This window comes from Homo sapiens, chromosome 17, assembly GCF_000001405.40.
Source record: "Homo sapiens chromosome 17, GRCh38.p14 Primary Assembly".
Lineage (NCBI taxonomy): Eukaryota > Metazoa > Chordata > Mammalia > Primates > Hominidae > Homo > Homo sapiens.
The window spans coordinates 78,104,485-78,124,813 of NC_000017.11; the positions used below are offsets into that span (position 1 = coordinate 78,104,485).

General features: G+C 56.4%; 2 protein-coding genes across 64 annotated transcripts in view, besides 10 other annotated features; one reads left to right on the top strand and one right to left on the bottom strand.

Moving 5' to 3' along the window:
- TNRC6C (trinucleotide repeat containing adaptor 6C) overlaps positions 1–4,351 on the top strand; it is a 151,279-nt gene extending 146,928 nt beyond the window's left edge. For 15 of the 21 annotated variants that reach the window (XM_047436496.1, XM_047436485.1, XM_006721996.5 and 12 more), the window contains one exon: positions 1–4,351. In XM_047436496.1, the coding sequence (XP_047292452.1) occupies positions 1–361 (361 nt within the window). In that variant the 3' untranslated portion in view covers positions 362–4,351. The other 6 variants (NM_001395512.1, NM_001395509.1, NM_001142640.2 and 3 more) reach the window with 1 other exon arrangement.
- The window catches only part of TMC6 (transmembrane channel like 6), a 25,031-nt gene continuing 7,614 nt past the window's right edge, over positions 2,913–20,329 (bottom strand). For 9 of the 43 annotated variants that reach the window (NR_168290.1, NR_168289.1, XM_047435253.1 and 6 more), the window contains 14 exons: positions 20,040–20,297; positions 19,505–19,695; positions 18,121–18,265; positions 17,072–17,227; positions 16,529–16,680; positions 16,169–16,348; positions 14,813–14,908; positions 14,487–14,562; positions 13,318–13,451; positions 12,984–13,160; positions 12,785–12,863; positions 9,064–9,140; positions 4,567–8,727; positions 2,913–3,356 (listed from right to left, as the gene is read on the bottom strand). Coding sequence is in view for 39 of the 43 variants with exons in the window: in XM_047435253.1 (XP_047291209.1) it covers positions 8,664–8,727; positions 9,064–9,140; positions 12,785–12,863; positions 12,984–13,160; positions 13,318–13,451; positions 14,487–14,562; positions 14,813–14,908; positions 16,169–16,348; positions 16,529–16,680; positions 17,072–17,227; positions 18,121–18,265; positions 19,505–19,695; positions 20,040–20,297 (1,785 nt within the window). In the remaining 4 variants the exon portion in view is untranslated. Of the gene's footprint in view, positions 8,728–9,063; positions 9,141–12,784; positions 12,864–12,983; positions 13,161–13,317; positions 13,452–14,486; positions 14,563–14,812; positions 14,909–16,168; positions 16,349–16,528; positions 16,681–17,071; positions 17,228–18,120; positions 18,266–19,504; positions 19,696–20,039; positions 20,298–20,329 lie in introns of all 43 variants that reach the window. The other 34 variants (XM_047435260.1, XM_047435259.1, XM_047435261.1 and 31 more) reach the window with 11 other exon arrangements.
- Positions 8,107–8,166: an enhancer, noted in NCBI's record as "active region_12854". NCBI's record gives its function as "activates an Ori minimal core promoter by ATAC-STARR-seq in GM12878 lymphoblastoid cells {active_cell/tissue: GM12878}" and the evidence as "EXISTENCE:reporter gene assay evidence [ECO:0000049][PMID:35858748]".
- Positions 10,007–11,993: a meiotic recombination region, noted in NCBI's record as "meiotic double-strand break mapped by DNA meiotic recombinase 1 chromatin immunoprecipitation followed by single-stranded DNA enrichment and sequencing in the germ cells of some male individuals with the PRDM9 A/A, PRDM9 A/B and PRDM9 A/C genotypes". NCBI's record gives the evidence for it as "EXISTENCE:chromatin immunoprecipitation-seq evidence [ECO:0000229][PMID:25395542]".
- Positions 10,714–11,454: a repeat instability region, noted in NCBI's record as "repeat instability region; AluI fragment, displaying instability at the CEB72 minisatellite". NCBI's record gives the evidence for it as "EXISTENCE:restriction fragment detection evidence [ECO:0001124][PMID:11121218]".
- Positions 10,791–10,803: a nucleotide motif, noted in NCBI's record as "nucleotide motif; similarity to the predicted 13-mer PRDM9 A binding motif (LD hotspot motif), CCNCCNTNNCCNC".
- Positions 11,103–11,115: a nucleotide motif, noted in NCBI's record as "nucleotide motif; similarity to the predicted 13-mer PRDM9 A binding motif (LD hotspot motif), CCNCCNTNNCCNC".
- Positions 11,135–11,449: a minisatellite, noted in NCBI's record as "CEB72 (D17S888) VNTR, 21 nucleotide repeat".
- Positions 16,696–16,755: an enhancer, noted in NCBI's record as "active region_12855". NCBI's record gives its function as "activates an Ori minimal core promoter by ATAC-STARR-seq in GM12878 lymphoblastoid cells {active_cell/tissue: GM12878}" and the evidence as "EXISTENCE:reporter gene assay evidence [ECO:0000049][PMID:35858748]".
- Positions 16,796–16,925: an enhancer, noted in NCBI's record as "active region_12856". NCBI's record gives its function as "activates an Ori minimal core promoter by ATAC-STARR-seq in GM12878 lymphoblastoid cells {active_cell/tissue: GM12878}" and the evidence as "EXISTENCE:reporter gene assay evidence [ECO:0000049][PMID:35858748]".
- Positions 18,006–18,155: an enhancer, noted in NCBI's record as "active region_12857". NCBI's record gives its function as "activates an Ori minimal core promoter by ATAC-STARR-seq in GM12878 lymphoblastoid cells {active_cell/tissue: GM12878}" and the evidence as "EXISTENCE:reporter gene assay evidence [ECO:0000049][PMID:35858748]".
- Positions 20,305–20,329: part of a silencer, noted in NCBI's record as "silent region_9039", that runs on past the window's edge. NCBI's record gives its function as "represses an Ori minimal core promoter by ATAC-STARR-seq in GM12878 lymphoblastoid cells {active_cell/tissue: GM12878}" and the evidence as "EXISTENCE:reporter gene assay evidence [ECO:0000049][PMID:35858748]".

Below are 20,329 nucleotides of genomic sequence, written 5' to 3' on the forward strand. Positions count from 1 at the left end.
GTGCGTCCTGGGAAACACTACCATCCTGGCCGAGTTCGCTGGTGAAGAAGAAGTGAATCGCTTCTTAGCCCAAGGCCAGGCGCTGCCACCCACTTCCAGCTGGCAGTCCAGCAGCGCGTCCAGCCAGCCGCGGCTCAGCGCAGCGGGCAGCTCCCATGGCCTGGTACGCAGCGACGCTGGCCACTGGAACGCCCCGTGCCTGGGTGGCAAGGGGAGCAGTGAGCTGCTGTGGGGCGGGGTGCCCCAGTACTCCAGCAGCCTGTGGGGCCCGCCCAGCGCCGACGACAGCAGGGTGATAGGCAGCCCCACGCCGCTAACCACCCTGCTGCCTGGGGACCTGCTCAGCGGGGAGTCCCTGTAGGCTCTGCCATCATCAGCACCAGGAGAGCCGACCCCTCCCGGGACCCCTCCCGGCTGGGCGGCCCCACAGACCCGCTGGAACCCAGCAGCGGCCGCCCTTTTGAGTACCTCTGTCCAGGACTGAAGACGAACCTTGGCCGCAGTCCTTGCGAACTGTTCGCAAAACAGTGCGGGCTGCGGTGGGTCAGCGTCACATGCTAATGACAGGATGTTCCTCGTAGCTTTTTATTTTGTGCGTCTTATGTTTGTATAGTGTGTTGTCATTTTGATTTTTTTTTTTTTTTTAAGTATAAAAGCTGCTTAGAATAGTTCTATCATGAAGGGCACTTTTCAGATTGTGGGCTGGAAAGGGTTATTTTATCTGTGGGGGAGGGAGGGAGACGTGAAGCCTATTTAAAATGAGCCTGTGACGATTATGCACATGACCAGAGGCGGCCGGTAATCAGGGCAGAGTCTGGTGTGGACCGCCGGGCGCAGAGCGGCTCCGCGGCGGGAGCTGAGCGGAAGGCGCGGGCTGCGATCTGCTCTCTGTTCCCCTGGATCCGCCTATGCACATTACCCTTGTTTCATTACTTTTTCATGTCATTTTTTTATCCCAAAAAATATTTTTTAAAAGTTAAAAAAAGACATATCAAACATGCAAATACTTGAATCCAGCAGGCCAATAGTGAAATGTGAACACTTTCTAATTCTACACTTCCAGGTTGACATCAGTACACAGAAACAGGCTCTAGGAAAAATTTCTAAGTTCATAGCCTACGTGTGTGTATGTGTGCGTGTTGAAACAGAAGTGTGTGTGTGTGTGCATGTGTGGCGCGTGCTCCTGCACGGCGTGCAGTTTTCTGTGTTTGTGTGTTTGAAAGCGTGTGAGGATTTAACTGTGGGTTTTCCCTTGTATTCAGTATACGCTTTTTTTTTGGCGCATTGGTCAAACGGTTGTTATTATTAGCTTCTAACTTTGCACTGAGTGTCCTCGCCCTTCCTTTAGCTAATCCTATACATTACAGAGAATTCCTAGGACAGGGCTGGCGACAATTCATGTGTAAATGTTTACTCAAGGACTCTGTGACTGCGTTTAAAAAGTACAGTGTATATCTCTGGAGAAATAACATGTATACCTACCTTTAGCAGCTTTTTATTGTGGACTAATGCAAGAAAATTATTACCAGAGTATTGCACCATTTTTCCATTTGGAATATAAAGTTAAAGAGAAAAAAAAAAAAAACTGTTGTTGAACTGTGGCCATAGATACTTGTAAAGAATGGATGGTTCCGTGGAAGGAACAGAAACAAGCACTTGGGCGTGGGTTGTGACTGCTTTTGGGGGAGCCTGGGGTTTGGGCTCCCACCTGTTTACAGACCTTTTTTTCTCCTTCAGACTTTAAAATTTTAAAAATTTAAAAAGGAATTAAAAAAAAAAAAAGACTTCCGTCGTAAAGAAACCTATTTTCAGAATGCAGATGCGTTCCTTCAGAGCTCTGGGACGGGACAGTGTTGTTCCCTCGGCCATCGTCGTGGACTCTGTCGATTGCTTTCGCCCCTTCGTCAAGGTGACAGGCGTTGTGGCCACTGTCTTGCACATGCCGGACGCGCTCTCAGGAAAGCCAGGGCTCCCGAGGGCAGCTCCACACCATTTCATGTATTTTTAAACCCAACTCCTAGCACTGAAGATGTTATTTAAAAAAAAAAAAAACAAAACAAAACAAAAAAATGAAAAAAAAGAAAAAGAGGAAAAAAAAACACAAAGAAGAAAAATACCTAATCTCTAATGTGTAGCAGTTACATATTTACCAAATAATGGACTCAAAAGAAATAGATGTTTGAAGAGTGCTTTATATATTAAAAATTGCTTTATGTTTTAAAAATGATCAATGTTTTGATTGTTTTGCAAGGAAGAAAGACAATGGAATAACATACCTTCAAGTATGTTTTAAAAAATATATATATGAACATTGTGCTCCCTGCCTGCTTGATCAGGAAACTTGTGCATTACATTTTTTTAATTAGCTTTTTAATGGTTTTATCAAAACAAAAAAAATACAAAAAAAAAAAAAAAAGTCCTGCAAGACTGCAGATCCACAAAAGCTGGTTTTATAGAGGATCATGAACTATGCACAAACTGGGTTCAAGACTTTTTTTCTCAAGTTTAGTAGGATATTTAGAAAAACCAACCTTCCTCAGAGTGACTGCATCTCATTGCCATTACATGCGTTCTATATATTCGATGGACATACACCTGCGTATGTATATCCAATATGTGTGCGTGTGAGCATGCGTGTGCGTATGTGCGTCCGACATACCACTTCCCGTGCTGCCGGCGAGCATTGAGTTGTAGAAAAACTGTTGTTTTAAAATTGGGGATGGAAGTCAAGAATATGTTTGTTTGTTTTTGGGTTTTGTTGGGTTTGAGGGGTTTTTTGTTTGTTTGTTTTTTGTTTTTTTTACCTTTTATTTTGAACTTAATATGTCTGTAACTCTGAGATTAAACAACAAGTTCGTGGCTCTTAATGTTTTCCTCATAGAATGTGACTGTTGAAGAACATGCATCGAAAGTTGCTTTCGAAAGTACAACGCTTTATTGAATCTTAATAAATTGCAATTTTTTTCTTGGCTGTTCAAAGTAATGTGTTTTTCATTTTTCAAAAGACACTATGGATGTCTACTTTGCACGCTGCGATTGGGAGAGCTGTCCCGCTGCATGCGTTCCCTCTGTAATTTCCTCAGAGCTCACATACGTACCTCTCTCACGAGTGAACTCAGATTTTCCATTGTTTTGCTTTATTCTATCATTTGCTTTGTGGTTTTGCTGTAAATATTGAAATCTTAATCATCATCGAGAGGCACAGCCAAGCTTTCCAGCTCTCCACCCCCGTGGCCCATCCAAGTCTGTTCATCTGGTAACTTCTGTTGTCTGGGACGGCAGCAAGAAGATGCCGGGGCTTGCCTGGAGTCCTGGCAGAGGAGTGCCACTCACTTTTGCCTAGGGTCCAGTTGGGGCTTAAAAAATATTTGGAGAGAAGAGTAATGAGGATTTTTTGTGTTTCCTAGACATTTTATGCATCTATTTTTGTAAAATCACCTTCGCTAACTTTCACCAAGCACTTTGAGCACAGTGGAACTTCAGAAGCACAACCAGCCTAACCCCAGAATCTCAGGTGGCACAGCTAGAAATTGAGTCCCTTCCTAGGACACTGGCCGTGGCCTTCAGGGTGACCAGTCAGTGCCACCGGGTTGGCATTGGTGTTACAGACAGGCCTCTGAAGACAAACCGAGCACCCCAGCGGCCCCTCAAACTAAGCAAGGATCTTTTTTCTGTCTGCGCTCCCTGGGGCAAGGTCAAAGGTGGACCCGCCCACTGTGGGTCAATTCCTTCGAAAAGATGGGACCCGCACCCCCGCCACAGGCTGGCCCCCCCCCACCCATGGGGAAGGTGGTGTGCTGCTGGCTCTGACCATACTCTTTTGGAAATTGAGAAGGAAAGCATTGAGTGGGACCTAATCCGGAGAAGAAATTAAAGACCAGAAAAAGAAGGAAGCTGGGAATGAAACTCAAAATGCACTTGAACCTGGAAGCGGCAACCCTCAGCTCTGCGCGGCCGAGCCTCAGCAAGAGTTCGTTTTGTGCCTGAGTTACTACTACAGGGGCAAACTGTACCCGTGCCTGTGCGCTGGGAGAACAAGGTCAGCGCCCAAGGGTGTGCAAAGGATGTGGCAGGCTTCATGGAGGAGGTGGCATTTGCCCTGGGCCTGGGAGACCAGGTTGGATTTTGACAGACTGGGAACTCGGGGGACAGGAGGGCAGCACAGTGTAAGCTAAAGCCCTGTGTAGGGACCCCACGCAAAGACCTCGTGGGCCTGGGTGTCCAGGGCACCATTTCCACCCATGGGTGAAAAAGAGGCTTGAGGAAGACAACAGGTTCTTCACCTGCATCTGTGGATATATATTTTTTTAAGTTTATTAAATTTTTTTTTAAATGGCAGTTTCAGACCTGCCCTTTGTGGTTTGTGTTTTTGTTTGTTAATACAGGGTCTCTGTCTCCCACGCTGGAGTGCAGTGATGTAATCTCGGCTCACTGCAACCTTGACCTCAAGGTTAAGCTCCAGCGATCTTCCGACCTCAGCCTCCCAAGTAGCTGGGACCACAGGCATGCATGCGCCACCCCACCCAGCTCATTTCATTTTTTATTTTTGTAGAGATAGGGTCTCACCATGTTGCCCAGGCTGATCTCGAACTGCTGGGAATACAGGCATGAGCCAGGTGCCCAGCCTTTGTTGTTGTTGTTGTTGCTGCTATTTTGGCAACATCACGGCAGAACGGTAAAGGCAGAAAGCACAGTGCCCAGCAGCTAGCAGTGTGGCGTGCCAAGAAGGCTGTTCCAATGGGGGAGAAGCCAGCAGACACAGAGGCATCATGGCGAGCCCCGACTGAGTGTTCAGTGAAGAGGGAAAACAGAGACAGTGGGGCATCCCGAGAAGATCCTCTGCAGGAGTGCGGTGTCTACGGATGGACCAAGAAAACCTACGCAGGATCCACGTGGAAACAAAGCTGCTTAGCTCTGCATATCAGTGCTTCTCGGCGGAGCTGTGGCTGATGGGCTCCTGGTGCAGGACTGGCCCCTGAACAGCACAAGTGTAGTATGCCTGGGCCCCAGGTCATCATGAAAACCAGAAGCAGACACTCAGGAGGCTGAGGCGGGAGGATCACCTGAGCCCAGGAGGTCGAGGCTGCAGTGAGCTGTGATCGTGCCACTGTGCTCCGGGATGGGCAACAGAAAGACCCCATCTCAAAAAAGCAGAAGCACATTTCCGAAGCCCCCCAAGCCCACGGGCGTGAGTGCATGCATGCGTTTGTGACAGCCTGGTGCTCGGATGGGCCCAGAGCAGGGGTTCTCAACCTTGGCCCATTAGAATTACCTGAAAATTTTTAAGATAATTCACATCCGGCCAGGCATGGTGGCTCATGCCTGTAATCCCAGCACTTTGGGAGTCCGAGGCGGGCGGATCACCTGAGGTCAGGAGTTCAAGACCAGCCTGAGCAACATGGAGAAACCCTGTCTCTACTAAAAATACAAAATTAGCTGGGCATGGTAGCACATGCCTGTAATCCCAGCTACTTGGGAAGCTGAGGCAGGAGAATGGCTTGAACCCAGTAGGCGGAGGTTGCGGTGAGCCAAGATCGTCCCGTTGCACTCCAGCCTGGGGAACAAGAGTGAAACTCCATTCCAAGAAAAAAAAAAAAAATTCACATCCAAAATTTTAAAGATAATTCAAATCCAAATCAACTCAATCAGAATCTCTCGGGGTGGGCCTCAGGCACCAGTGTTTTTTTGTTTGTTGGGACAGGGTCTTGCCATTGCCCGTGCTGGATTCAAAACACCTGGGCTCGGCAGGTGTTGTGGTTCATGTCTGTAATCCCAGCACTTTGGGAGGCCGAGGCGGGCAGATCACTTGAGGTCAGGAGATCTTGACCAGCCTGACCATCATGGTGAAACCCCATCTCTACTAAAAATACGAAGATCAGCCAGGCCTGGTTGTATGCACCTGTAATCCCAGCTACTTGGGAGGCTGAGGCAGTGAGCCGAGATCATGGAACTGCACTCCAGCCTGGGCAAGAGCAAGACTCTGAAAAAGCAAATAAACCGAAACTCTTGGGCTCAAGCAATCCTCCGCCTCAGCCTCTGGAGCAGCTGCAATTACAGACAGGCGCCACCACCTCCAGCAAGTACCAGTGTTTTTAAAACCTCCCTGGTAGATTCCGTTGTGCAGCCCAGGCCGAGAAGCATCGCGGAGTCTTGTCATTCAGCCTGAAAATAGCATCAAGTTCCCATCCACTCGAACAACAGTTTGTAGATCTTAGGCTGCTCTCATCGAGCAAACATGGCCTCCTTGCAACACCTCAAATGGGTGCCAGGCATGGTACGCAGCACACAAACTGTGTCACTTGATACAGCGGCCCCATGAGGCGAGGAGCTGGGAGGTCACAGAACATGCCCCAGGGCACCCAGGGACACACTGAAGCCCAGGCCTCCAGCACGCAAGGGCTGCTCTGAAGAAATACGGGAGGTCCTCACTGGAGGGTCTGGGGCCACACGGTGGGTCCGGAGACAGAAACGAGGAGAGGACGGGCTCACCCAGCCGTGGGGCCGCGGGCTGGACATCCAGTGGGAGTGGGAAGCCGCCGTCTCAAGGCAGAATTCCCTCTCTGGGACACCTCGGGTTTTGCTCTTAAAGCTTTCAGCTGATAGGATGAGGCCCACCCACATTCTCAAGGATGATCTTTAGGTGAAATCGACTGTAGGTGTTCACCACATTCCAGCAGCACACGATCACAGCAACACCTCGGCCCCTCTCGATGAGATCACTGGGCCCCACAGCCTGGCCTGGTTGACACGAAAGACTGACTAGCACACACGGTAATTCTCCAGAAATATCCAGGCCAAGTTCTTCCACTTTCCTGTCATAAGCAGCTAGTACTGTCCTTTGTGAGGCTGGCAAGATGGGCTCAACAGGTCACAACCAATGATCATGCTGGCAAGCCAGCAGTGGCAGGCGCACGTCCCCAGCCAGAGAGGGACCGTGATGGTTTGGAGGACAGCATCTGCACAGATAGGGGCTGGAAACCCTACGTCGGTCCCTGTGGACTGTCACGTCACTTTCTGGACTGCCCACGCAGCTTCACCCAGCAGCACTCGCACCTGAAGATGCTGCCACAGTTGGCTGCCCAGAATCAGCACCAGCTACTTGCTGAGGCCCAGAAGCACCACTTGGCTCAGATCCACCCAGATGCCAACTCTGTCGGGCCCCTGTGGCAGCACCCAGATGTCTGCAGAGCACAGGAGCATCCCCATGGGATTGGGTGGGCTAGACCCAGCGTGGGGGTCTGCTAGCAGCCAGTGGCATCTCCATCTGGGTCTGACCCTTTTCTGGGCCCATCGCTCTTTGACCATTTCCCCACCTGGGTTCATTCCCCCAATCCCAAGCGCAGCTCCTGCAGGCCTGGAGCCCTGGGCTGTGACAGGCTGGTCCCCACAAGCCTGGAACCCTGCGCCGTGACGGGCTGGTCCCCACAGACCTGGAGCACTGGGGTCATGACGGGCTGGTCCCCGCAGGCCTGGAGCACTGGGGTCATGACGGGCTGGTTCCCGCAGGCCTGGAGCACAGGCTGACGGGCTGGTCCCCACAGACCTGGAGCACTGGGGTCATGACGGGCTGGTCCCCGCAGGCCTGGAGCACAGGCTGACGGGCTGGTCCCCGCAGGCCTGGAGCACTGAGGCTGACGGGCTGGTTCCTGCAGGCCTGGAGCACAGGCTGACGGGCTGGTCCCCACAGACCTGGAGCACTGGGGTCATGACGGGCTGGTCCCCGCAGGCCTGGAGAACTGAGGCTGACGGGCTGGTCCCCGCAGGCCTGGAGCCCTGGGCTGTGATGGGCTGGTCCCCGCAGACCTGGAGCCCTGGGCTGTCATGGGCTGGTCCCTGCAGACCTGGAGCACGGGGTCATGACGGGCTGGTCCCCGAATCCCTGTGCCCACCCCCCACAGCCTACGGTTTTCGGTATCCCACGGGCTCCTCAAACTCAGCCCAGTCAGACCCAGGATCACCACCCCCCAGCCAGCTGCTGGCAGCCAGAAGCAGGGGGCCAGCCCCACCTCACCAAGCCCTGTTCGCCTCCAAGCACAGGTGCTGGTTACCTATGCCTGGGAGGCAACTGTCCCCACAACTCATTTGCAACTGATATGTCTCCCCTCCAAGTCCCTCTCTAAATTTGTCTCCTGCTCCAGTAGATGCTACAGCATCACCCAATGGTTGACGCATCGCTCTGGTCACAATCCGTGCCTGCTCGGCTCACTTGTGCAGGTGTAAGCCCCTCCTGGGCGCGAGTTCAGGCTGGTCAAAGGCAGCAAGCGAATCAAGCCCTGGCGCGGTCCAGCCCCTGCCATCTGGGGCTTGGCCAGCAGAGGGCGCCCCCACTCCAGCTGAGGTTCCCAGGACCCAGACCTGCGCCTGGAGGTGGCCCCAGGGCAGCGGGAAGCAGGCCCCGGGTGTGGTCACAGACACAGAGCCCCAAGGGACAAGCCCATTTGCAAAACCCCTTTAATCAGAATAAATAGAGTCCCAGGCAGGGCAGAGTTCATTGGGGATGCCCAAGCCGGATTCACCCACCCTTCCAGCTCCAGCCTAGGCGCAGCTGCGGCTTTCGAGAGGCGAAACTGTCTTCCTTGTCCTGGTGTCCCAGCAGGGTCACTGGGAGGCAACAGTGTGGTCTCAGGGTGCTGGGCGGGCCCGTGAGGCCCATCGCCGTCCCCCTAGGCATCCTGTTCATCTGTGAGCAGGGCAGGGGGTGCCGCAGCCTCCTCGGTTGTCCCAACCCTGCCAGAAAGAGACATCACTGAGGGGACCCCATAAACATCAACATCCCTGCAACCTGGCTGGGCGCAGCCAAGGCCCGGCGAGGGACAGGCCAGACGCCCCACAGCCTTTCTCCTGAGATGTATTTTAGGTCCCTGTCAAAATGGCCAGGCTCCGGAGGCCAGAGAAGGCTCTAGAGAGAGTGAAGGTGGGCGCCGGGGGGGAGATTTTTGTAGGTCAAAAGCGGTCAAGTGTCAGCAATGTCGTGGTGTAGCCCCAGTGGCAGCCCTACTGTCCAGCCCTGGCCCCTCTCCCCTCCAGGCTCAGAGTGTCCCCAATCCCTCCACGGACCCTCACCTGCTCCTCTCCTCCCTCTCCTTCCTCTCGTAGATGGAGTGAAGCTTGTTGATTAAGAAGATTTTGTCCTCACCCTCCTAGAAAGGCCAGAACACAAAGGGGAGGAGAAATCATCCATCAGCCCATCCAGAGCCATCCTGTTCCAAACTGCATTTGAGGGAAAACTCACGAGGTGTATTCAACATCGCAAGCAGCAAAAACATAAAAGAAAAGGTGAAAGGGCCACCAAACAAGGACAAGGAAAAACCAAGAGCCAGGAAGTGGGCGTATGTGTGGATCTAAGCTTCCTAGTGGCCAAAGTGAAAAGGGAAATGTAATCAGCAGCCCAGAGCCAGCCTGACTCAATTTAAAACCAGCCCTGCCACGTACTGGCTCTGCCTTGGGTTACTAACTCTGTGACCTCAGTGGCAGCATCTGTAAAGGGGGATAATAACACAAGGCACAGGGTTTACATTAGTTTCCTGCTGCTGTCGTAACGAACTGTCATCAACTTCGTGGCTTAAAACACCACCGGTTTCTCAACTTTCAGTTCTGGAAGTGAGAAGTCCAAAATGAGTCTCACTGGGCTCCAGTCAAGCATGATCAGGGCTACATTCCTCCCGGAGGCTTCGGGGGAGAATCCTCTTCCTCGCCTTTTCCAACTTCTAGAGGCCCCTGGCTCTCAGCCCTTTCCTCCACTTCAAAGCCAGCAGTGGCTGCTCAAGTCCTGCTCACGTGGCACCACTCTGACCCTGACACTCCGGCCTCTGTTTTTCACCTCTAAGGACCCTGAGATCACGCTGGGCCACCACGATAATCTAGGGCCATCTCCTATCCAAAGTCAGCTGACTGGCAACTTTAATTCTACCTGCAATCGTAATTCCCCAGCCACGCAACGTAACGTATTCACAGGCTCCATCCAGTCTTAGGACGGGGACATCTTTGGGGCCAGTACTGGACTGACCCAGGGCTCTTTCGACAATGAAATGTGACAAGCAGAGGGGGCACTTAGCAAAGGATCTGGTGCACCGAAACACTGATCATCAGTGCCTGGGTCAGACCGGGATTCCCCGCCCGGAGCTTCACACAGAGAACAGGAGTTCTGTCAAGAGCCACACGGATTGGCTCTGGGCACCTGGCAACCTGGCTCAGCCTAGGAGGACCACTTAGAATACCTTCAAGGAGAGACCATGGGCCCCTTAAGCAACAACCTAAGTAGCTTCTATCGAGTTGCTGATGAGTATGGAGGGGCTGTGCACTTGAGCCATGCCGACCTGCACGGGGAAAACTCAGACCGACAGCCCCAAAGACGGGTCAGAGCTCGGCCTTGGGTAGACACCACAGCCAGCATCCGCCTGGAGAAAGGTCCTTCCCATCCCAGAGCAACGGTGGGTAGAGCTGGGATTCTCCCAGCACCACTCTGCATTCCCCGCCCGGACCCACCTGGCCCTACCTGGCCCCTGGGGGCTCTGAAATGCCACCCAGTAGGGCAGGAGCCATTCCCCACTTCCAATATCTACAGCCAGACAACCACCGCAGCCGAGATGCCAGGCTTTCAGCTCTATGTGGTGAAACGGGAAAGGCAGGAGATGGGACAGTGTGTACTACAGTGTTTACAACCCAAGCAATGTGGGAGCCGTCCCATGAGTGCTTGGGACGAGCTGGGACGAGCTGCCTGGAGCCCTGGATCCTGGCACCAACTAGCCAGCAGCAGGGTCACATGGCTGCCGAGGCCCACTGGCTGCACCCCGCCCTGCCCTCGCCTTGGCAGACGCCAGCCGCTGATCCCCACAAGCGCCCCCCTAGCCCTGGTGTGGAGCATGCCTAAGGACACTGGCACTCACCAGCCCCAGAGTGAAAACCTGCAGGAGGACAAATGGCAATGGGAGGGGATGGGGAGCCCTAGGGGGAGGGCAGAGCCCAGCAGCAGGACGCAAGCCTGGAAAAGCCACAGGACCTGCTTCACGGGGGGCCGTTCCCCAGGGGAGGGGCCTCGGGGAGGAGGCCAGGCTGGGTAGCCCGGGGGGAAAGTGCCTTGTCTCCAACTTGGTGGGTGCCCAGTGGGCAAGGAGGTCCTCCTGGGCAGAGAGGAGCGAAGGGAGTGGGCACAGGGGCGAAGGGAGTGGGCACAGGGGCGAAGGGAGTGGGCACAGGGGCGAAGGGAGTGGGCACAGGGGCGAAGGGAGTGGGCACAGGGGCGAAGGGAGTGGGCACAGGGGCGAAGGGAGTGGGCACAGGGGCGAAGGGAGTGGGCACAGGGGCGAAGGGAGTGGGCACAGGGGCGAAGGGAGTGGGCACAGGGGCGAAGGGAGTGGGCACAGGGGCGAAGGGAGTGGGCACAGGGGCGAAGGGAGTGGGCACAGGGGCGAAGGGAGTGGGCACAGGGGCGAAGGGAGTGGGCACAGGGACCAGCTGCCGGGTGGACAGTACTCCTGGGGGCTGCCTCTCCGGTATGGGGTCCGACCCCCTTCTGCAACTCACTCCCATGACACAGCATGAGGGCCTCAGCAACTCGCTCTGTCGCCCGGGCTGGAGTGCAGTGGCGCAATCTGGGCTGATTCTCCTGCCTCCGCCTCCTGAGTAGCTGGTACAGGTGGACGCCACCACGCCCAGCTGATTTTTGTACTTTTAGTAGAGACGGGGTTTTGCCATGATGGTCAGGCTGGTCTCGACCTCCTGACCTCAAGTGATCTGCTCACCTCGGCCTCCCAAAGTGCTGGGATTAGAGGCCTGAGCCCCCATGCCCAGGCTTTTTTTTTTTTTTTTTTATGAGACAGAGTTTCACTGTCACCCAGGCTGGAGCGCAGTGGCACAATCATAGCTCACTGCAGCCTCAACCTGGGCTCAAGCAATCTCCTCCCTCAGCCTCCCAAGTAGCTGGGACTACAGGTGCACACCACCACACCCAGCTAACTTTTAAAATTTTTATAGAGACGAGGTTTCACTCTGTTGCCCAGGCTGGTCTCGAACTCCTGGGCTCCAGCCATTCTCCCACCTTGGCCTCCCAAAGCATTGGGACTATAGGCATGAGCCCCACCACACCCGGTCAAACATTGTTTTCTTCATAAAAATGTTTTGGCCAGGCACGGTGGCTCATGCCTATAATCCTAGCACTTTGGGAGGCCAAGGTGGGTGGATTGCCTCAGGAGCTCGAGACCAGCCTGGGCAACACAGTGAAACTGCATCTGTACGAAAAACACAAAAAAGTAGCCGGAGTGGCGGCAGGCCCTGTACTCCCAGCTACTCGGGAGGCTGAGGCAAGACAGTTGCTTGAACCCAGGAGGCAGAGGTTGCAGTCAGCTGAGACTGTGCCACTGCACTCCAGCCTGGGTGACAGAGCGAGACTCCGTCTCCAAAAAAAAAAGTTTTAAGTCCTAACTCTCAACCTTAATCCACCTGTTTGTAAAATGAGTGAAGAGTCCATAGGGACCCAAAAATCCTCACAGAGACTGTCTAAACCCTCAGCGGGGCCACACCCGGGGGCTGAAATCACACCCCACCCCCCAGAGCCCTGGTCCCAGTGGGGCCCTGCGGGTCCTTGGGGATCAGGAGCCTGGCTCTGTCTCACGGCTACTTCGTCACTTGATCTGAAGTGCACGTATTGATCAGGGTCACTTGTTTGGCAAACAAACCCTTTCACCAGCCAAGGCCCACAGGAGATGTACAGGGGAGTGGAGGGGAGCGTCACCCTCAGGTGACCTGAGAGGGTGGGGGCTGAGAGCAGCCCAGGAGGGGCACTCACATTGCTGATCTGCTCCTTGAGCAGGCAGATGACCTTGCGCTGGCCCCGCACCACCTGGATGTTGAGGTAGATCACGGCCCTGCGGGAGAGGGGCTGTCGGGCAGGGCCCAGGGCCACAGCCCGGGAGCGGCCAGTCCCCACACGGTGCAGGCCCAGCGAGGGCCATCTCCCCAGGGCCGCCCCCACCTGCGGGACTCACAGCAGCAGGGCTGACACCAGGAAGACAAAGAAGGTGTTTTCCATCAGGTACCGGTGCACCCAGGGCAGCCAGGAGACCCTGGGGCCTGCCGCCTCCAGGTGGCGCACCCACACCCTGCCGGCCTCGTACATGGTGTCCAGGGTCCGGAAGGGGCCGCAGGTGCTCGAGGGCTTCACCCTGGGGAAGATGCCGACCAGGAACCCTCACCCCGAGCAACAGTTCACCCGGCTCCCTCCCAGCCCGTCCTCTGCACCCCTAAGCCTTGGGCCCCCCAGGCACCACCACCCAACCCCCAGATGACACAGAAGGGTCTCCCTCCACCCGCCCCACTCACTGCCAGACGGCGTAGCAGAGGAAGACAGCGGCGCCCAGGAAGGCGGGGAAGCAGAGCAGCGTGAGGAAGACGGTGCTCATGTGTGAGGCCAGCCAGGGCCGGCGCGGCGCCTGGCAGTTGGCCAGAAGGCTGGTCTGTGGGGAAAGGCTGCGCTCTGCCACCATCCTGCTACCCCTCAGCACCCCTCCAAGCCCTGGGGGAGCTCAAGAGGGAAGGGCGACCAGGGCTGTGCGTCCAGGCAGAGCCTGGACCCTGCTCCCTGCAGCCTCCTCATTTACAGAGGAAGACAGAAGCCTGCCGGTCACTTGCACGCAAACGGGTGATGCCAACAGCACCTCCATCTGCTGAAGGTCGCTGCCATGCCAGGCTCTGCACACAACACTGTACACACCACCTCCCTCAGTCCCCACTGGAACATGGTCCCCACTGCAGGGATGAGGAAACAAAAGGCCAGACGAGACAGGAGCCAGGATGGCCAGGTGCGGTGGCTCATGCCTGTAATCCCAGCACTTTGGGAGGCTGAGGTGGGCGATCACAAGGTCAGGAGATCAAGACCATCCTGGCTAACACAGTGAAACCCCATCTCTACTAAAAATACAAAAAAATTAGCTGGGTGTGGTGGCGGGCGCCTGTAGTCCCAGCCACTCGGGAGGCTGAGGCAGGAGAATGGCGTGAACCTGGGAGGCGGAGCTTGCAGTGAGCCGAGATTGCGCCACTGCACTCCAGCCTGGGCGACAAAGCAAGACTCTGTCTCAAAAAATAAAATAAAATAAAAAGACAGGAGCCAGGATGGGAAGAAAGGTCCCAGTTCTCAGCCACTGGGCATGACCCAGTTGCGGAGAGAGGCCCAGCATCACTTTTCCAGGGACCCAGAGGTCCCAAGGCTTGGTGTCTCCCAGAGCCCTGGCCCTACCCCTGGCCAGGTGCACACAGGTACCTGCTAATGACCTCTGAACCCAGCGATGCTTCCCAGCCTGCCGAAGACAGTGATGCCAAGAGGGGTCAGCCGTCCCTTGGGCGGAGGGACAGGCCAGGGCAGCCCCGAGCCGCCAGCCCCACTCCACTCAGGTGGGGAGGGTTCTAGTGTCCCAGGCTCTGCCCAGCTGAGTCCTGCCCCCACTGCCGGCCACCCTGCCAGCCCAGCCCTCCCCAGGCCTTGGCAGCCTCACCTTCTTGACATAGAAGACGAGCAGCAGCTTGATGATCTGCACGGCGGGGAGGAGGGGCGAGAAGAGCACCCCCAGCCTGGGGAGGGGGTGGCAGTTCAGGGGCTGCTCCAGTGCCCTCCCCTCCCCGAGATCAGGCTGGTTCCAGACCACGGGCAGGGCATGTGACAGTGGCCAAAACTGAGTCCCCGGGGTTAGGGTCTGCATCACTCCAGGGTCCATGGCCGGGCCTGGCTGTGGCCCCAGGGGGAGGCAGGTACAGGACCCCCGGGGGGAAAGGGGCACTGACCGAGGGGCCAGACAGTAGGAGGCAAGCAGAGGACCCTCACCAGGTCAGAGTCTGCCCATAAATCAGCTCCAGGACATTCCGGGCAATGTCAAACTCCGGCTTCCGCCTCCTCTTCAGCTTCTTCTCGGAGATAATCCTGCCTCCGAGGACCCCGGATCGTTAGATGGGAAAGCCATGCCCAGGGAGGCCAGCCTGAGTCCCCACACCCAGAGGCACCCCGCCCCCAGCCAGGGGACATCCTGGCCGTTCCACAGATAATGCCAAGAAGAGACAGCCACCAGCCTGGGGGACCCCACCAGGTGCTTGGTCACACCAGCCTCATCCTAAGTAGGTTCGGATACACCCGGAGTTAAACAAGCAGTATCAGCTCCAGCACCAAATGATTTTTTCTTTTTTGAAACAGGGTCTGGCTCTGTTGTCCGGGCTGGAGCACAGTGACGCAATCGTGGCTCACTGCAGCCTTGACCTCCTGGGATCAAGCAGTCCTCCCACCTCAGCCTCCTGAGTAGCTGGGACTACAGGCACACACCACCAGGCCCAGCTAATTTTTATTTATTTTTATTTTTATTTCTTTAGAGACAAGGTCTCACTCTGTTGCCGAGGCTGGTCTCAAACTCCTGGGCTTAAGTGATCCTCCCACCTCAGCCTCCCAAAGTGCTGGGATTACAGGCGTGAGCCACCACACCGGGCCTCCTACTGATTTTTTTAATCTTATTTTTTATTATTATTAAATTCATATATTCTCGAAGAAAACACCAAGAGGAAAAAAACAGCTGAAGTGCCAGAACCCACAGCGGAATACCTGGAACATTTTTTAAATGTTCCTCCGCTGTCTGTTCCCTGCTGTGTGTTTTTCCTTTGTATCCTAGACTGAGGTTGTGTCATATACACGTTACTTTTTTTTTTTTTTTTTTTTTTTTGGCAACACAGTCTTGCTCTGTCGCCCGGGCTGGAGTGCAGAGGCGCAATCTCAGCTCACTACAACCTCCGCTTCCCAGGTTCAAGCGATTCTCATGCCTCTGCCTCCCGAGTAGCTGGGACTACTGGTGTGCGCCACCACGCCCTGCTAATTTTTGTATTTTTAGTAGAGACGGGGTTTTGCCATGCTGGCCAGGCTGGTCTCAAACTCCTGACCTCAGGTGATCCACTCACCTCAGCCTCCCAAAGTGCTGGGATTACAGGCATGAGCCACCATGCCTGGCCATACACATCACTTTGAAACCTGTTTTCCTTTCCAATCTAAAAATGAGTTCGGTTCTATTTCCTGAGTCTTCCTCTGAAGGGTGGAGACACAGGGCCCTGATGGGAAAGGTCCAGGCCTGAGAACCTCCCGGCCACACGTCCCGGCCACTAAGGGGAGAACACTCACCACCCAGTCCGCCCAGGACCCCCTCACCTCCACACCAGTTCCCCAAAAAGCGTGTCCAGCAACATGAGGACGAAGTCCATCACCAGGAACCGGTACAGCTCCTGGCCCACAAAATCCTCCCAGCACTGGCCCTGCAGGACGCCCACCCTGCGGCCCAGCCAGTGGTAGCACAGTGTCCCCAGGATGGCCAGCTTGAGGATGAGGTTCCTGCGGAGGGCGGGGTGCAAAGGCTGAGGGGCGGGTACAGGGGACAGAAGATGCACCCCAGGGCCCCCACCAGGGGCTTGGTCACACCGGCCTCATCCTAAGTAGGTTTGGATACACCCGGAGCTAAACAACCAGTATCAGCTCCAGCACCAAATGATGTTTTCATGTGCGGCCACACACCTGCAGATGGCCACGTACACCTCCAGTACCGGGGAGTCATGCGGCTCCAGGGCGGCCAGGACACGGCACAGGTAGGGGGCCCCCAGGTTGAGGAGGCCAACCACCAGGGGCAGGACCAGCAGCACAGCCTCCTGGCCAGCAGCCTCTGGACTCTGCAGGGGTGCAGGGAGCGGTGTCATGGAAGCCCCCCATCCATGGTGGGAGCGGGCAGCTACAGGGAAGGGCCCGGGGTGGAACTGGCAGGTAGCACCTCCCTCCTCCAAGATCTGGCCCTCCCCAGGCCTCAAGTTCAAACCACACAGGAAGCAGGGAGGGGTACAAGTAGTGGAAAAGAAACCAGAAACCAAAAAATAAAACCGTGAGACAGGACAAGGGGCTGAGAAGTGGGGCTCGGAGGGGGCCCCAGCACGGGGCACAGCGTACGTGGCACCCTGGGCTGGCTGGGTGGAGGAGGAGAGGCAAGGCTGCCTCCCCAGGGGGCAGGTGCCCAGAGTCACTGGGGACACGTTCCAAGCAAGGGCCAGGCTCCCCCCATCCCCGCACCTGGATCATGAACTCCGAGAAGACGTGGACGGCCACGGCGCAGCCCAGCGCGGTCCCCAGACACAGCAGCCACACAAGCCCCAGCACAGCCGCCTGCCGCAGCCTCCCGCACACGCTCCTGGGGCTGTGCCGCAGCTGCCACTCGGCCAGCAGCTCCTGCAGGCGGCACCGTGTCCCCGTCACCCACACCAGAGCACGGGCACACGCAGACGTGCAGACACAGCACAACACACACAACACACATGAGACACACCAGGAGGCTTGAACCAGGACAGAGGGCCAGTTCCCCATGCCCCACCTGCCCTTTCATCTGCTGAGGGCCCTCCCTCCAGGCGCAGAGAGGACCCAGTCCCCCTGCCGAGAGGCCCCTGTGCCTGGGCTGGCGTTCACTCCCGAGGCCTGCCTCAACCCCTCTCCACCCACCTCCCCAGCCCTGCCCGCTGGGGCAGGGGCCTTGCTCAGAGGTCCTTTCCTGTTCCCTGTGGATGTGGGTGGCCCCCAGTGACCAGAAGCCCCCCTACACGGAATGGCTCATGACAGGTCACAGCTCTGAGCTCCTTGAAGCACAGAACCCCAGAAAGGCAGAGAATGTTCCACGAGGCCCGGCTCTGCAGCCTCCTGGCCCCGCAACCTCTACGAGGGCCTCGGCCTCTATGCCTCAGTCTCCTCTCTGAGGCACACAGAAGGTGACAGTCCTCACCCACTGGCCTCCTATGGCCACCAACCAAGCTAACGCCAGCCAGGGAGCATGTGCCAGCTGGGGCCTGAGGCCTCAGGGCTGGCTCCCGGGTGCCCACGGGGCCATGGCGCTACTACGCGCTAGCAGACAACAGAGGCAGCCCCTAACTGATGGGTGTGTGCCAGAGAAAAACTCAGGGCCTGCCCGTCACTGCAAGCAGAAGACCACGCCTGCCCAGCGCCCCGAGTTCAGCTCACGGACAGCTGGCCCTCCCTCTAGACCATGGTTCTGGTCACATGGTCCTAAGTGGACCCAGGGCCAGGCCTGCAGGGAGCTGGGCAGGCCAGCTTGGTGCTCCGGGGCCACTCACCTTCAGCCGGGTGCGAATATTGTCCTGCTGGAGGCGGGAGGCCCGCTTCTGCGTCACCTTGTAGTCCCAGGAGCAGAAGACGGTGATGGCGTGGATGCCAGAGGTGCTGCCCACCCGGTAGCTCTCCCCGAAAGAGTGAGCCATGCTGGGGAGAAGCAGACACAGACATGGCAACCAACAAGCTGACGGGCAGAGGCCAAGGGGAGAAGGCAGACCGGATGCTCTGGGCAGCCAGACCCCACCACCCACTCAGGAGCCATCTGGGCCCTGACTGGGCCTCCTGCCACACCCCTGCCCCACCACCAGCCCTCTACACCAGTCTCATCCAACATAGCACCCACCAGCCACATCTGCCTAGAAGAGGGGGCAGGGCTGCATTCACCGCGGACTTGGCTGGCTGCCTCCCAGCGAGACATGGACCAGAAGATGCTGGGCTCACCTCAGGGCCTTTGCACTGCTGGTCCCAATGACCAAAACATCTTCCCTGCTTCCTTATCCATCCCCACTCTTATCTAACCTTCCCCTCTCAGGGCAAGTGCCGCCTCCCCTGGGAAGCAGCCTGACTCCTTCCCCAGTGCTCCCATAACACTGGGGAAACACCACTAAGCCTCATGGATTGTCCCAGCCCATTCAGTGGTCCATCTTCTCCCAGAGACAGCAAGCCCCCCTAGGACATTTACCATCCTGCCCTGAGCTGAGCACAGAGAATGTTTGTGGAATACGTAGATGCATGGGTGGATGGGTGGATGGATGGATGAATAAATGTGTGGGTGGATGGGTGGATGGATGAACGGATGGGTGGATGAATGGGTGGATAGATAAGGAGGTGGATGGATGTGCGAATGGATGGATGCGTGGATGAATGAGTGGGTGGATGGATGAATGGGTGGATGGGTGGGTTAAACTGAGTGGATGGATGGGTGGGTAGATGGATGAATGGGTGGATGGGTGGGTGGATGGGTGAATGGGTGAATGTGTGAATGGATGGATGGGTGGGTGAATGGATGAATGGGTGGATGGGTGGATGGGTGGGTGAACTGATTGGGTGAATGGGTGGGTAGATGGATGGGTGGGTGAATTGAGTGGGTGGATGGGGGGGTGAATTGAGTGGGTAGATAGGTAGGTGGATGGCTGAATGGGTAAATGGGTGGGTGAATTGAGTGGGTGGATGGGTGGGTGGATGGATGAATGGGTGGATGGGTGGGTAGGTAGATGGATGGGTAGATGGGTGGGTAAGTGGATAGTTGGATAGGTGAGTGGATGAGAGCAGACAGGTAGATGGACAGAAGGAAGAAAGGAAGAGGGAAGAATCAATGAATGGGTCGAAAGATGAATGGATGGATGAGTGGAGCTCGGAGCCTGGGTCATGAGGTGGAGGCATTACCTGTACACCAGGGTGATGCAGGTGATAAAGAAGCTCACGCCCACAGTGGAGAGGTAGGCCAGGGGCATGTTGTAGGGCAGGCCACCCACCCTGGGTGTGCACTGGCTGCCATCCAGGGGGCTGCCACACGGCTGGTTCAGCGTGGCGTTACTGTAGTGGCCGTAGTACATGACGGTGTGGGTGAAGCAACCCTGCCACAGGGAGATCCAGCCGAGTCAGGGACTTTCCCCACGCCCCACCCGACCCTCAGGCCTGACAGCCACAGGGGCAGAGCAGGAGGAGGCCAGGCAGGGGCAGTGAGGGAAACAGGGAGGGGCCTTGGCCACAGCAATCTTGGGCCTCCAGCCCCATGGGAACCCCAGCACGATGAGCATCCAGGGTCATTGAGGGGGAGGCGGGGAGCTGGCTGTGGCCACCTGGAGTCACAGCGGGGCAAGGGTTGGGGGCCCCAGGGGAGCTGGGACAAGAAGGGAACACGGTACCAGGGTAGCAGAAGACAGGCACCCCCCGTCCCCCAGTCCTAGGGCTTCCTCACCGCGCCTGTGAGGAGCTCCAGGCCTGTGCAGACGGGGGCAGGGCCCGGCAGGGCGGGTGGGAAGGCGACCTGAGGGCCCATGATGAAGGCCACCAGCAGCAGCAGCAGGAGGGCATTGAAAGCCAGCAGGGTCTTGAGAAAGAGGAAGTAGGAGAGCACGCTGGAGCCGAACTGGCCCCCGATGCGCTTCAGGGCGTAGCGCCACGGCATCAGGGCCTGCAGGGCGGAGAGCAGCGCCAGGCCCAGGCTGTGCAAGGCCTGCGGGCACAGGCAGAGAGGCCCTGAGGGTG